Genomic DNA, 14469 nt, shown 5'->3' with positions numbered 1-14469 from the left:
TACACCAGTCAGACGTAGATTTGGTCTTTTCATATAGTCCCATATTTCTTGGAGGCTTTGTTCATTTCTTTTTATGCTTTTTTCTCTAAACTTCCCTTCTTGCTTCATTTCATTCATTTCATCTTCCATCACTGATACCCTTTCTTCCAGTTGATCGCATCAGCTCCTGAGGCTTCTGCATTCTTCATGTAGTCCTCGAGCCTTGGCTTTCAGCTACATCAGCTCCTTTAAGCACTTCTCTGTATTGGTTATTCTAGTTATACATTCGTGAAAATTGTTTTCAAAGTTTTGAACTTCTTTGCCTTTGGTTTGAATTTCCTCCTGTAGCTCGGAGTAGTTTGATCATCTGAAGCCTTCTTCTCTCAACCTGTCAAAGTCATTCTCCATCCAGCTTTGTTCCGTTGCTGGTGAGGAACTGTGTTCCTTTGGAGGAGGAGAGGCACTCTGCTTTTTAGAGTTTCCAGTTTTTCTGCTCTGTCTTTTCCCCATCTTTGTGGTTTTATCTACTTTTGGTCTTTGATGATGTTGATGTACATCATCATGGGTTTTTGGTGTGAATGTCCTTTCTGTTTGTTAGTTTTCCTTCTAACAGACAGGACCCTCAGCTGCAGGTCTGTTGGAGTTTGCTAGAGGTCCACTCCAGACCCTGTTTGCCTGGGTATCAGCAGCGGTGGCTGCAGAACAGCGGATTTTTGTGAACCGCGAATGCTGCTGTCTGATCATTCCTCTGGAAGTTTTGTCTCAGAGGAGTACCCGGCCATGTGAGGTGTCAGTCTGCCCCTACCGGGGGCTGCTTCCCAGTTAGGCTGCTCATGGGTCAGGGGTCAGGGACCCACTTGAGGAGGCAGTCTGCCCGTTTTCAGATCTCCAGCTGCATGCGGGGAGAACCACTGCTCTCTTCAAAGCTGTCAGACAGGGACATTTAAGTCTGCAGAGGTTTCTGCTGTCTTTTTATTTGTCTGTGCCCTGCCCCCAGAGGTGGAGCCTACAGAGGCAGGCAGGCCTCCTTGAGCTGTGGTGGGCTCCACCCAGTTCGAGCTTCCTGGCTGCTTTGTTTACCTATGCAAGCCTGGGCAATGGCAGGTGCCCCTCCCCCAGCCTCGCTGCCACCTTGCAGTTTGATCTCAGACTACTGTGGTAGCAATCGGCGAGACTCTGTGGGTGTAGGACCGCCCGAGCCATGTGCGGGATATAATCTACTGGTGCGCCGTTTTTAAAGCCCATCAGAAAAGTGCAGTATTAGGTAGGGAGTGACCCGATTTTCCAGGTGCCGTCTGTCACCCCTTTCTTTGACTAGGAAAGGGAGCTCCCTGACCCCTTGCGCTTCCCGAGTGAGGCAATGCCTTGCCCTGCTTCGGCTGGCACACGTTGCGCTGCACCCACTGTCGTGCGCCCACTGTCTGGCACTCCCTAGTGAGATGAACCTGGTACCTCAGATGGAAACGCAGAAATCACCTGTCTTCTGCGTCGCTCATGCTGGGAGCTGTAGACTGGAGCTCTTCCTATTCGGCCATCTTGGCTGCCAGCCCCTGCGAATACTTTTTATCTAGTTTCTCAGAACAAAAATCTTCGTGTCTTTCTTGACATCCTTCTTTCTCCAACTCGTCAGCTCTACCATGAAATTATATCTAGAGTTTAGCTATTTCTCACCCATTCCACTACTACTACCTAGCCTATGCTACCATCATTTACTACCTGGACTGTTGCAATAGCCTCCCAGCTAGTCTCTCTTCTGACTGGTCTATTTGTCACACAGCAGGCAGAATGACAACCTTAAAATACAATTTTGTTCGTGTCACTCCTCAGCTCAAAGCCTTTCAGTGATTTTCCATCTAACTCAGAATAAAGTTAAAACACTTTACAATGACCTACAAGGCTGTACTTGATCTGATGCACTGAAAACTCTCTGATCTTGTCTCCTACCTTTATGTTTCTCACTCATCATATTCTGGCCACACTATTCTGCTTGCTGTTCTGCCAACAAGCTAAGCATATTCCACACCTCAGTGTCTTTGCATGTCCTATTCTCTATACTTGTCAAGCCTTTCCCTCAGCCACCTACGTAACTCTACTCTTTACTTTCTTCTAGTCTCTGCTCAAATTTCACGTTATCAGAGAGGGCTTCCTTGATAATAATATGCAAAATATTTTATACACACATACATTTGTATGTATAAAAGTAAAATATTTAAAAATAGTTTCTAATTCCAAAACAATTTCTGATAAATATTTATTTCCCTGTACTATTTTCCAAAAAACTTTTAAATTACAATTTATAACATAGTATAGAAAAGTGCACTGCAAAGGTATAGAATTCATTAATTTATCACAAAGCAAACATCTGTTTCACTACCACCCAGGTTAAGAAATTAAACGTTGTCAGCATCCCAGTGTTGAAGAGCACTTATAACCTGCTTTTAATAGCCAATGCCTTCCTTCTTTATAAAGGTAGCCAGTATTTTGAATTTTATGTTAATTATTTCTTTGTTTTTCTTAAATCTTTACCAACTGAGCATGCAATTTTGAACAATATAGTTAAATGTGCCTGCTGTTTGAGTTTCAGATTAAATGTAATCACACTGTATATAATTTTTTTTCTCACCTGGCTCCTTTTGCTTAACATTATGTTGTGAACTTCATTCATTTTATTGCATGTAGCTCTAATTCCTTTATTTTCACTGCAATGTATATTTAATTCTGTGATTATTTGTAGTTTATTTTTTTCATTCTACTCTTGGTGCAGATTTGAATTGTTCCTAATTTGAAGTATTATGAATAATGCTGCCATGAGCATTTATATATAGAAGTCTTCATGCATATGTGCATGGATTTCTGCTGGATATAAACCTTGGAACGGAATTTCTGAGTCATGGGGTATGGGAATGTTAAATTTTAGTTGATAATTCCAAAATGTTTTTAAAGCGGCTGTGCCAGTTTACCCTCTCACCAGCAGGGCACGAGAGTGCTAATTATTTCACATCCCTGACAATAATCAATATTGTTTTATTTATTTATTTATTTTTAGAGATGGGGTTCTTGCCATGTTGACCAGGCTGGTCTCTTACTCCTGGCCTCAAGCAATCCTTCCATCTCAGTCTCCCAAAGTGCGGGATTACAGGCATGAGCCACTGTGCCCGGCCTATTTATTTATTTTTAAATTAACTGACCTTGTAAGTGTGTAGTAGCATTGCATTGTGATTTTAATTTTAATTTCCTGTATTGGTAATTACATTGAGCACCATTTAAAAATATTTATTATCTATTTGAATATTTATTTTTTTAAAATACCTCCTCAAATGTTGCTCACATTTGTATTTGTTTCTTAGTTGTTGGTGTATTCTAATTAATTTATAGGGGCTCATTACATAGTCTGTATTATTCCTTTCTCATTGTATGTGTTGAAAATTTCTTTCCCCACTCCATGTCTTTCCTTTTCACTCTCTTATAGTGCTTTTAGATGAAAAGAGTGTGTAATTTTAACATACTAGAGTTATCAATCTTTTTTTTTTTTTTTTGAGATGAAGTCTTGCTCTTATAACCCAGGCTGGAGTGCAGTGGTGCCATCTTGGCTCACTGCAACCTCCGCCTCCTGGGTTCAAGCAATTCTCCAGCCTCAGTCTCCTGAGTAGCTGGGATTACAGGTGTCCGCCAGCACGGCTGGCTCATTTTTGTACTTTTAGTACAGACAGGGTTTCACCATGTTGGCCAGGCTGGTCTTGAACTCCTGACCTCAGGTGATCAGCCTGCCTTGGCCTCCCAAAGTGCTGGGATTACAGGCATGAGCCACTGTGCCTGGCCTATCAATCTTTTTGTTTATTGTTTGTGTGTCTTTTGTCCTGTGTAGGTCCTCTCTCCCTACCACAAGTTCATGACTATCTTCTATATTATAGTCTAGAAGCTTTATTGATTAAAATTTTGCATTTTAATTGATAGTTTAACTGGAATTGATTTGTATATTTTTGGTATTATTTGAAGTAGGTGTTGACAATCTTTTTTTTACATGAATATTTCAATTGACCCAACAGAGCTTATTATTTCCTATTTGATTTGCAGCATAAAATTAAAGGTCCATTTTCAGATGGCTTCAATTGTTATAGATCTATAGTAAGTCATGGTGTCTGGTAGAACATATCCTCTAACCTCTTTCTGAAGATTTGGATGATAAATTGTCATTTGCATTTCCATATCAATTTAAGAATTATTTTAGCAAGTTTCATTCGATGCATATACACATACACTCTTACCTTTTTGGTTTTTGATTATAATTGTTTAAAATCCATAGATCAATTTGGAGGGTACTGATATCTTTACTATACTAATACTATATTGTATCTTTCAATTTATGAAAATATTTTATTGTCCATTCAGTTAGCTATTTGGTTTCTTTCAATATTTTATGGTTTTGTTTGCTTGTGTCTTATGTAATTTTGATATAATTAATCAAAAGAACTTGATGCTTTTTGATACAACAAAATGGCATCAATTGAAAAAATACTTTTTAGCTGGTATGTTGATATATAGAAATGTGCCTAATTTTTGTAATTTGTCTCTATATTCAGCAACTTTGCTAAACACACTGCTGCCATTATTCACCTGTAATTTTTTTTAAATTTTCTCTGTATGGAATTATCTAATCTGCAAATAACAGTTTTGTTTTTGTGCTTTTAGTCCTTATTTTTTTATTTTATTTTTCTTTTCTTACTAAACTGGCTAAAACCTCCAATACAAAAATAAATAGAATTGAATCTAAAAGGCAGTCTTGATTAGGTCTTATTCAAAAGGAAAGCTTCAAATTTCATAATTGAATATAATACTTTATGTTATTTTGCAGTTATATTTTATTAGACTAAGATATTTTTCTTCTATTTCTAGATTTCTTGTAACCATGAATATGTATTAAATTTTATCAAATGATTTTCATTTACTGAGATGACTTATTAATTTTCTTATTTGGATAATATAAAATACAATTCATAATTTTCAAATTTTCATTTATCTTGCTTTCTTGAAATAAACCAATTTGTGTAATAGACTTTTTATCACTGAATAATTTTCACTAATTTTTTGATTAATTTTTTTCTTGTACTTGAATAATATTAGCCTGTAACTTTGTAATTCTTATAAAGGTTTTATAAGGTTTTGATATGAAAGTTATTTTGGTTTTATAAAATAAATTCAGGAGCACTTTTTATTTCATTCCCTGAAAGAGTTTGAGTAACACTGATGTTATTTGTTGCTCAAATGTTTTTAAGAATTTACCAGTGAAATCATTTGGATTATAGGTTTCTTTGGCAAAGGTTTTATATGATGAATTTAATTTCATTAGTAGCTTCAGGATTATTCAGAGTTTCTGTTTTTAGGTAAGTTTTGTAAATTTTACTTTTTAACAATAAATATTTTCATTTTATCTAAACTTCAAATGTATTTGCTTCTTTTCATACTAACTTGTATTTTTAAAAACTTTTATTCCATTATTGATCATGTGTATCTCCTCTTCTTTGATCAGTCTTATCAAGAGTTTGTCAATTGTATTTATTTTTTCAAAAAAATAAGTTTTGTTTTGTTAATCTTCTCTATCATATATTTATTTTAATTTCTATTTTCTTGTTCCCTCTATTTTATTTTGGTCATTCTGCTGTTAATTTTCTATGTCTTGAGATAGATACATAATTTCTTAATTTTTAGTCTCTTTTTTCTAACATAAATTTATAGAAAGAGAAATTTCCTGTAAGATGATTTTATTTGCATCTCAAAATATTCAACTTGTATGATTTATGTTACCATTAAGTTAAAGTATTTTTTAATTTTCTTGTTATTTTCTTTCTGACACATAGGTTATTTTCAAGCATGTTTCATAAATTCCATATATTTGGAAACTTTTTTTCTATTTTTTAAGAACTTCTAACTTATTTCACTATGGTCAGAGAATATACTCTATATGATTTCAATCTTTAAAATTCATAGAGACTTAGGTCATGGTCCAGCAAATGATCAACTTTTATAAATATTGTTTGCTTCAGAAAATGTTTATGTTGCAGTTATTTGGAATGGTGTTCTACAAATAATATTCAAAGTTTGATAATTGTACCAGTCCTGCTTGGTCTACTAATGGCAATTAAGTTGTAGTTTTTCATTGACCTTAACCGAGGGTATGGCAATAGTAATCTAGCCAAAAGGGGTCTTCTGTATTCCAGACATACTCTTCTTACTTGCACTGTGGAGTACCTGTCCAATTTCCCCTTGGTAGTTAGGATAGTTAGGATGAATGACCCCAGCCAGCATAGTAACTCTTTTTTATGCCTGTTGATTCAGAAGCATGAGAAGTCCAGTGTCCAAGCATTAGTCTTAACTTTTAGTTCAATGAATTATTGTTGTTTTTCCTGGTGGAAGTTTTCTTGCTGTTGGCACTAAGATTTTTAGGCCAATAAAGCATGAGGACACGGAAACATGAGGCAAAAATATTGCTACTGGGTTACTAGGGGAAATAGTGATGTCACTCTCATTTTCACCCCTTGATTTTTGGACCCATGAATCCTAGCAATGGGAAAAACAGCACCATATTTTGAACACTGATTTGGAGCACATAGAGGCTTCTGAAGAACCCTTCCCCAGTCCTACGAAGTATTGTTGCCACCTAGCTGGTGCTGTAATTGAGACTTCAAAAGGCCATTCCATGATTTTGTCAAACCAGCTACTTCAGGATGCTAGGGAACATGGTGGGAGTGTGAATTTCATGAGCATAGGCCCATTGCTATACTTCTTTTGCTGTGAAGTGAGTTTCTTGATTAGAAGCAATGTCGTATGGAATATCATGCCAGTGGACAAGGCATTCCGTAAGTCCAGATATGGTAGTTTTGGCAGAAGTTTTGCATGCAAAGAAGGCAAATTCTTATTCAGCATAAGTATCTATTCTAGTAAGAACAAGATACTGCCCTTTTTCCATGATGGAAGTGGTCCAGTGTAATCAACTTGCCACCAGGTAGCTGGCTGGCAACTCTGGGAAATGGAATCGTGTCAAAGATTCAGTTTTGGTCTCTGCTGCTAGAAGATTGGGCAATCAGCAGTGGCTGTAGCCAAGTTTGCCTTAGTGAGTGAAAGTTGATGTTGCTGAGCCCATGAATGACTTCCATTCTTGCCACCATTGCTATTTTGGTCATAAGCCTATCAGGCAATGACAGGAGTGGATGGGGAAAGAGGCTGATTGGTATTCACAGAATAGGTCATTCTGTCCACTAGATTATTAAAATTCTCTTCTGCTGAGGTCATCCTTTGGTGAACATTCACATGGAACACAAATGTCTATCACCTTACCTCTTCCCCAAATTTCCTTTTCACGAATTTTCTAATCATGTTCTTTCAAAGTCCTTATCATCCAGCCAATCTACTGGCAACCAGGAATAGGCAGAGAATTGCACATCTGGCCATTCCTCCTTTCAAACAAAATGATCAATCAGGTGCACCGCTCAAAGTTCTGGCCACTGGGAAGATTTTTCACCTTCATCCTTCAGGGATGTGTCAGAAAAGGGCTCTAGTGCTGCAGCTGTCCACTTTTAAGCAGTGCCTGCATATCATGCAGAAATATCTATAAAGCAGGTCTGATCTAAGGGAATGCCCCATAAAGCCATAGGTGCAGGCTTAGAGAGAAAACTCAGGGTAGCAGGAATGAGAAACGTGGACATTTGGACCACTTCTTCATGGAATTCATTTGTGTCGTTAGGGCCTGCTTGGGCCCAGTCATATATATACCCCTTCCATTTGATGATGGAGTGCTTCTGTGATTGCCCAAATTTATGACTTCATGGGTCAAAAAACACACAGGTCATGATGGGCAGCTCCAGTCCCATGGTAACTTGGTGGCCCATGGTTAAGTACTCAGTCTCTACTAAGACCTAGTGTTAGGCAAATACTGTTTTTCAAAAGGAGAGTATCTGTGGAGGATGGTTGGGCTTTGCTTCAAAATTCTAGTGGTCTGTGCTGCAATTCAACTATAGAGATCTGCCAAAGAATTCATATGTCATCCTTATCTGCCTTTGATACTTCAAACACCAGTGGATCTGCTGGATCATATGCCCAAGTGATAGGGCAGATCACATAGCAAACTGGACTTATGGCAGAGCCTTCTTTTGTTCTGAGCCCCACTCAAAGCGAGCATCTTTTCAGATTAGTCAGTAAATGGGCCAGGGTAAAAAACCCACATGAGTAATATGTTGCCGCCAAAATCCAAAATAAAGTCTACTAAGTATTTTGACTCTTTTGTTTTGTGGAAGAGGCCAGATGCAATAAATTATCCTTCACCTTGGAAGGGATACCTTAATATGTCCCACATGATTGGATACCTGGAAATTTGACAGAGGTATAAGGCCACTGAAGTTTAGTCAGATGTATTTATCACCATCTGATATGCAACTGTTTTACCAATAAGTCTAGAGTACTTGCTACTTCTTGTTCACTAGGTCCAATTGGCATGATGCCATGATGTAATAGACCGGTGTGCTATCTTGTGAAAGGGAAAGGTAATCAAGATCCCTGAGAACTAAATTATGACACAGCATTGGAAAGTTGATATACCTCTGAGGTAGGACAGTGAAGGTGTATGCTGGCCTTACCAGTTGAAAGGTAACTGCTTCTGGTCAGCCTTATGGATAGAAATGGAGACAAACGCATTTGTCAGATCAATAGATGTGTTACAGTTAGTACTTGAGTGTTAATTTGCTTAAGGAAAGAAACCACACTGGATACAGAAGCTGGAATTGTAGTCACCACCTTGTTAAACTTATACTAATCCACAGTTATTCTCCAGGTTCCATTTATCTTCTGCATAGGCTAAATAAGTGAGTTGAATGGGGAGCTGGTGGAAATGACCACCCTTGCAATCTTCAAGTCATTAATAATTACACTAATTTCTGTAATTCTTCCAGGAATGCAGCATTGGTTTGGTTTACTATTTCCTAATGGCTTCCACTTGGCACTTTCTACCATAATAGCCCTCACTCCACAAGTCAGGAAATCAATGTATAGATTCTGCCAGCTTCTGGGTAAATATATTCTGATTATAAATTCCAGAACTGGGAAATAATCACAAGATGAATTGAGGAACCACTGGGCCCAGGCCCACAAGAAGATGTACCTAAGCCAAAACTCCATGAATCACCTTAGCTTCTCCATAAGTCCTCACTCTGACTAATGGGCCATAGTACATTTTGAATCTTTGGAAATTAGCATCAGGTCAGAAACAGTCTATAGTACTTCCCCAAATATCTGGCTGTTTCTTTCTCTGTAGTGCCCAGTTGCCGTGGTAAAAGGGCATAAATCCTTTTGGGAAAGGCTGGGAGAAAGATTAACAGTATAAATTCTTACTAGTTTCCTTCCTCAAGGGGACCTAGTCTCTGCTTCATTCAAGGGTCCTAGATTGGTAAGCTGGTTCAAGTCTGAGAATTGACTGAGGATGCATGACTCTCTGTTTTTATAATTCAGGTTAGACTTTTGCTCATTTGACTTATAACTTTTCTGTTTATACAAATCAGTAAAAATGTTTCATTTCTAGGAACACCATTCATTAGCCAATGGTCATAGGTCTGTGTGAGTCTATTTTGATTGTTGCTTTGACTCTGCTGCCTATCATGGTTACCATGCCCACCTTGCCTTTAGTGATTGTGTGACACCACTTGGCCCCTGCCACCTAAGATCCAAGTAATCTCATTGTACTTAGGTTTCCCAATTCAGTGGCTATGTTTCCCACTGTAAGGTCTGGCCTATGAAGAAGACCAATCACGTTGCTCTTCAGGGATGCTGGGGCTTTCCTCACAAATTTACTTCTCATAGTAGTGGTAAAAGGTATTTATTCTGGACTCCCTGCCACAACACCCAGGTGGCTCAGTAGGTTTTAAATAACAAATCCATTTCAACCTTCCAATATCCCTAATCCTTCAAACTACTCTTGTACATTAAACTAAGGCAGGTCCAGCATTTTCAATTCATTCACTGTGGGCCTTGTTTTGGTCCATATTTTAGCCGACTAACCAAACAAATAAAGGCCTTTGTAACTCCCCCAAGCTTCAATATTAAATGTAGATTCTCTGTTTAGTGGGCCCATGTCGATAACTTTGGCCTGATCCAACTTTAGGTTCATTCCATCATTATCACACACCCTTAGTAACCATTCTCACACATGCTCCCGATTTCTATCTGCATAAATTAAAAAAATCCAGCAGTTTCTTTGGAATGTAGTGTATTTTCTCATGGTTCACATTTATACCTCACCTTTAGGAGTCCACTGGGACTTGAATCTAGTTACAGGTTTAGCAGCAAAGACAGGTAATGGAGCTGAGTTCTGAGTAGAATTAACATTGTCTTACACGGCAACGGCCTCAGGCAAGTTCATTACAGTATTTCCAAGAAATGCATGATTAATGCATTTAAGACTGTGGTGGACAGGGTGATACTACTTGGAGTGAAGAGGTCACTCTCAGCCCTTGGCTATAGGAAATAAGGGTCTCCTTCAAGGCGTACATGGAAATCTTTAGGACATTTATGCCACCTTTAATCAGGAAATTCAGATCCCTGATCTCATCCTTTTCTTTCACCACATTGAATGTGGCCATTAGGAGCAATCAGCCAGTCTTATTTTTGTTAGTTTTCCAAAAATGTTTGAAAGTGTTCGATACACATTTATTCAGTTCTTTGTGGTTGATTAGGAATATTTATGTATGTCTATTACCTACAAATTTACTCCATGCACTGTCAGTGCTCTCTTGTCAACTAGACAGAGCCATTAGCTTACTTTAATTGAATCAGGTCTGAGAGCCAATTTCAGAAAACTCAGAACCAATTCAGAAAACTCATCCTTAAAATTCTGTCCCTCCAGAACTAGTCTCAGTACCAAAATATATATTTGTCAGAAAACCCTTGATTTTCTAGAGAAACAGAATCAGAAGAGATATATTATAAGGAACTAGCTAACTTAATAATTTAGGCTGAGAAGTCCCATGTTCTGCTGTCTGCAAGTTGGAGATCCAGGAAAGTCAGTGGTGTAGTTTCAGTACAAATCTGAAGGTCTGAAGGCCTGAAAACCCCCCAAAAAACAATGGTGTAAGATCCAGTCTGAATAAGGAGAAGACTTATGTTCCAGCTCCAAAAACAGTCACATAGAATGGGTGAATTGTCCTTTACCCCACCTTTTGTTCTACTAAGATCTCCAAGGGATTGGATGTGGCCCACCCACATTGGGGAACCTAATCTGCTTTATTTAGTCTATGGATTCAGATGTGAACCACATCCAGAAACACCCTCACAGACACACCCAAGGTAATATTTAACCAAATTTCTGGTATCTCTTGTTCCAATTAAATTGACAAATAACCATCACACTAGTAATTTTATGTGATATATATATGACACTAAAAAATCTCTGTTAACATAAAATAAACTATTCTATATTCTGCTGATACTTTTATTTCCTATTTCTACTAATTACTGAGAGAGATATCTTACAAATTTTCACTGAAGCAAGTAATTTTGCTCCTTTTGAGTCTTTATATTCTTATTTTTGCTCTCTATATTTTTATTCTTTTTTTAGATGTGTATAAGTTTAGAATTATTTTTCTCTTGACCTGTCTTACAGTTCACATTGTTTTTTTTTTCTTTAGCTATGCCTAATCTGCTCTCAAACCATTTTTATTTTTTGAGATGGAGTTTCACTCTTCTCGCCCAGGCTAGAGTGCAGAGGTGTGATCTCAGCTCACTGCAACCTCCGCCTACTGAGTTCAAGTGATTCTCCTGCCTCAGCTCCTGAGTAGCTGGGATTACAGGAGCTCACCGTCACGCCTGGCTAATTTTTGTACTTTTAGTAGAGATGGGGTTTCACCATGTTGGCCAGGCTGGTCCTGAACTCTTGACCTCAGGTGATCCACCTGCCTTGGCCTCCCAAAGTGCTGGGATTATGCTAAAATGATTAATTTTAATTTTTGTGAAAATGATAAGCATATTTATTTAAAAGTCAGTATCTGATAACTCCAATATTGGCATGTCCTGTTGGCTTGTTTCTCTTGTCTGTTATTTCTGTTCACTTTTATTTAGAATATTGATTTCTTCCTGTGGTTACTTTTGATTTTATCATGAACACTGTATTTACAAAATTGTTGGTAGTAACGATCTGAGGTCAGATATTTTTACATTTTTTTAAAGGAAATTTATGTTTATTTCATCCAGGGTCTGGATATATTAGCAATTCAACATCATCTTAATCTAAATTCAGAGACTGAGTCCCCTAAAAGCTGAGGCACAGTCCCCTGAAAGGTGGTCTTCTGTCAGTTTATTCTCAGTCTTAGGCGTGCCCTTCAGATACCAACTCAAAAAGTAAGAGGTAGTTACCAGAGCATATTCCTCTGGCTTGGTAGGTCCCAGACTGTAACTCATGTCCTGTAGTCCTGTGTGGCTTTCAAAAACACAGCTCAGTCTCTTAGCATTCCACTGGAATTGACTAAAGCCCTCATTTTAAAAAGTGGTATCAAATACAATATCTTACTGGTTCTTCAATTTCATCAAGCCCTTTTTAAGATTATTTTGTTCAGCTTTTTTTTCCTCTTAGGTAAGATTGTTCTGCATTTCTGTGTTCATTAATATTGAACTATATTTCTCATCGTACTTTTTATCACCATCCCAATTCAAATTCATATTTGTTTCATATTTGTCTCCTCCCACCGAAATACAAGTTTTATGAGAGCAGAAACTGCCTTACTTTATTCAATAATATATCTAAACAATCTAGAATAGTTCTAGGTACATTGTAGGTAGTCAATAATATTTAGTGAAAGAATTAAATGGATGTGTATTTCTCACTAATGATGAATGTTCTCTATGATGTTTTACATCTGAATAATATGATTTCACATGAATAATCGCACTGGATTATTCCAACAGTTTTGTGAGGTATTATTATTAATCCGTTTGCCAGATGAGAAAACCAAAGTGCAGAGAGATTATGAACAACCTGTATGATTTTACAAACAGTAATATCGGATTCTTCATTTGAACTTAAGTATTCAAAACAAAACTTTGTACAAGTTTTTATCTATTGTGTTATACCTTGATATTTGGTGACACAGGAAATATTTATCTGCTCATTATCCAATTATTTGGAATCTATCATAATTTGAAAACTCTTCCCCATAATTGGTTTCTTTAAAATCATACCTAGATGTCATGCTTGAGTATGCAAAGCTCATACTTCAGTCCTAGAAATATTGGTCGTATTTTTAAGGAAGCATGTCGAAATAAACAGTGGGAAAAAATTGTGTCTTTAAGTAAATAAAAGAGATTTAAGCATTTTTTAAAGTAATAAAACTGTATTTCTTGGAAACATAGATTTTCTTCCCTTCAAATTTGGGAAGTATAAACAGTTATTTCTAAAGCCCTTTGGACTGAATAAGTGAGAATTAAATATATTTTTTCCTCTTATTATAAAAGTTATACTTTATATGCAGAAAATATAGATAATAGAACAAAGTTGAAAACCTTCCTTAGTAAAAGCAATAGCTGTTGTTAGCATTTTTGTTAATAGCCTCTCTCTTTCTCTCTCTCTCTCACACACACACACACAGACACACACACACATGCACGTTCTGGAAACTGGGATAGTATTATAATACTATAGGATTATTTTATAACCGGATTGAATTCAACAATATGTAGGTTTTGATGCAGGTGTTGAGATGCTGACACCCCGTCCTGTTACTCCTCATCTCTGCCCCAGAGTTAAAAATCTGTATATAACTTTGATTCCCCTAAAACTTAACGGCTAGTAGCCTATTTTCTGGCAAGAAGCATTACTGATAACAAAACTTTTTTGTTGCTATTGTATTATATACTGTATTCTTACAATAAAGTATGCTAGAGAGGAAAATGATAGTTAGAAAACCGCAAGGAAGAGAAAATCACATCACGGAAAATGGGGTATCCATCCTCTAAAGCGTTTATCCTTTGTGTTATTTTCTAAGTGGAAGTGGCCATTATAAAGGTCTTCCACCTTGCCATTTTTATATTGAGTGGGCTGAGGAGAAGGAAAAGGAGAGGTTGGTCTTGCTTCCTCTTGGGTGGCAGGGGCAGAAGAAAATCTGCCTGTGGGTGGACCTAGGTTGCTCAAATCTGTGTTGTTCAAGGGTCAACTGTATTGTCAATATGTTTTAATTTTCTCATTTTTCTAAAACAGGACTTTTGGTGGTAACATACAAAATGTAGTGTAATATAATTAACCACACTTCTATTCTTGGACACTGTAGTTGCTTATAAATTTTTGACATCTTTTCAGCTGAAATGAACATTTTTGTATTTTAGTTGTTTTACATGTGCTTATATATTTTACCAGGCTGCATTATTAAATATTAAATTGCTGTGCCAAAGATTATTTAGAATTTTGAGTTTTTTTGTCATGAAATGTTAAATTAGTCTTAAAAATGTGTATTAATGCATAAT

At 37.0% G+C, this 14469-nt stretch overlaps 1 annotated feature.

Moving 5' to 3' along the window:
- Positions 433 to 932: an enhancer, noted in NCBI's record as "H3K4me1 hESC enhancer chr1:164185857-164186356 (GRCh37/hg19 assembly coordinates)". NCBI's record gives its function as "activates a minimal SCP1, AML or CMV promoter by ChIP-STARR-seq in naive H9 embryonic stem cells {active_cell/tissue: H9 hESC(naive)}" and the evidence as "EXISTENCE:reporter gene assay evidence [ECO:0000049][PMID:30033119]".

Source organism: Homo sapiens, chromosome 1 (genome assembly GCF_000001405.40).
Source record: "Homo sapiens chromosome 1, GRCh38.p14 Primary Assembly".
In the NCBI taxonomy this organism is placed as follows: domain Eukaryota; kingdom Metazoa; phylum Chordata; class Mammalia; order Primates; family Hominidae; genus Homo; species Homo sapiens.
The sequence above is the reverse complement of the archived record's forward strand: the minus strand, read 5'-3'. Positions and strand labels throughout refer to the sequence as shown.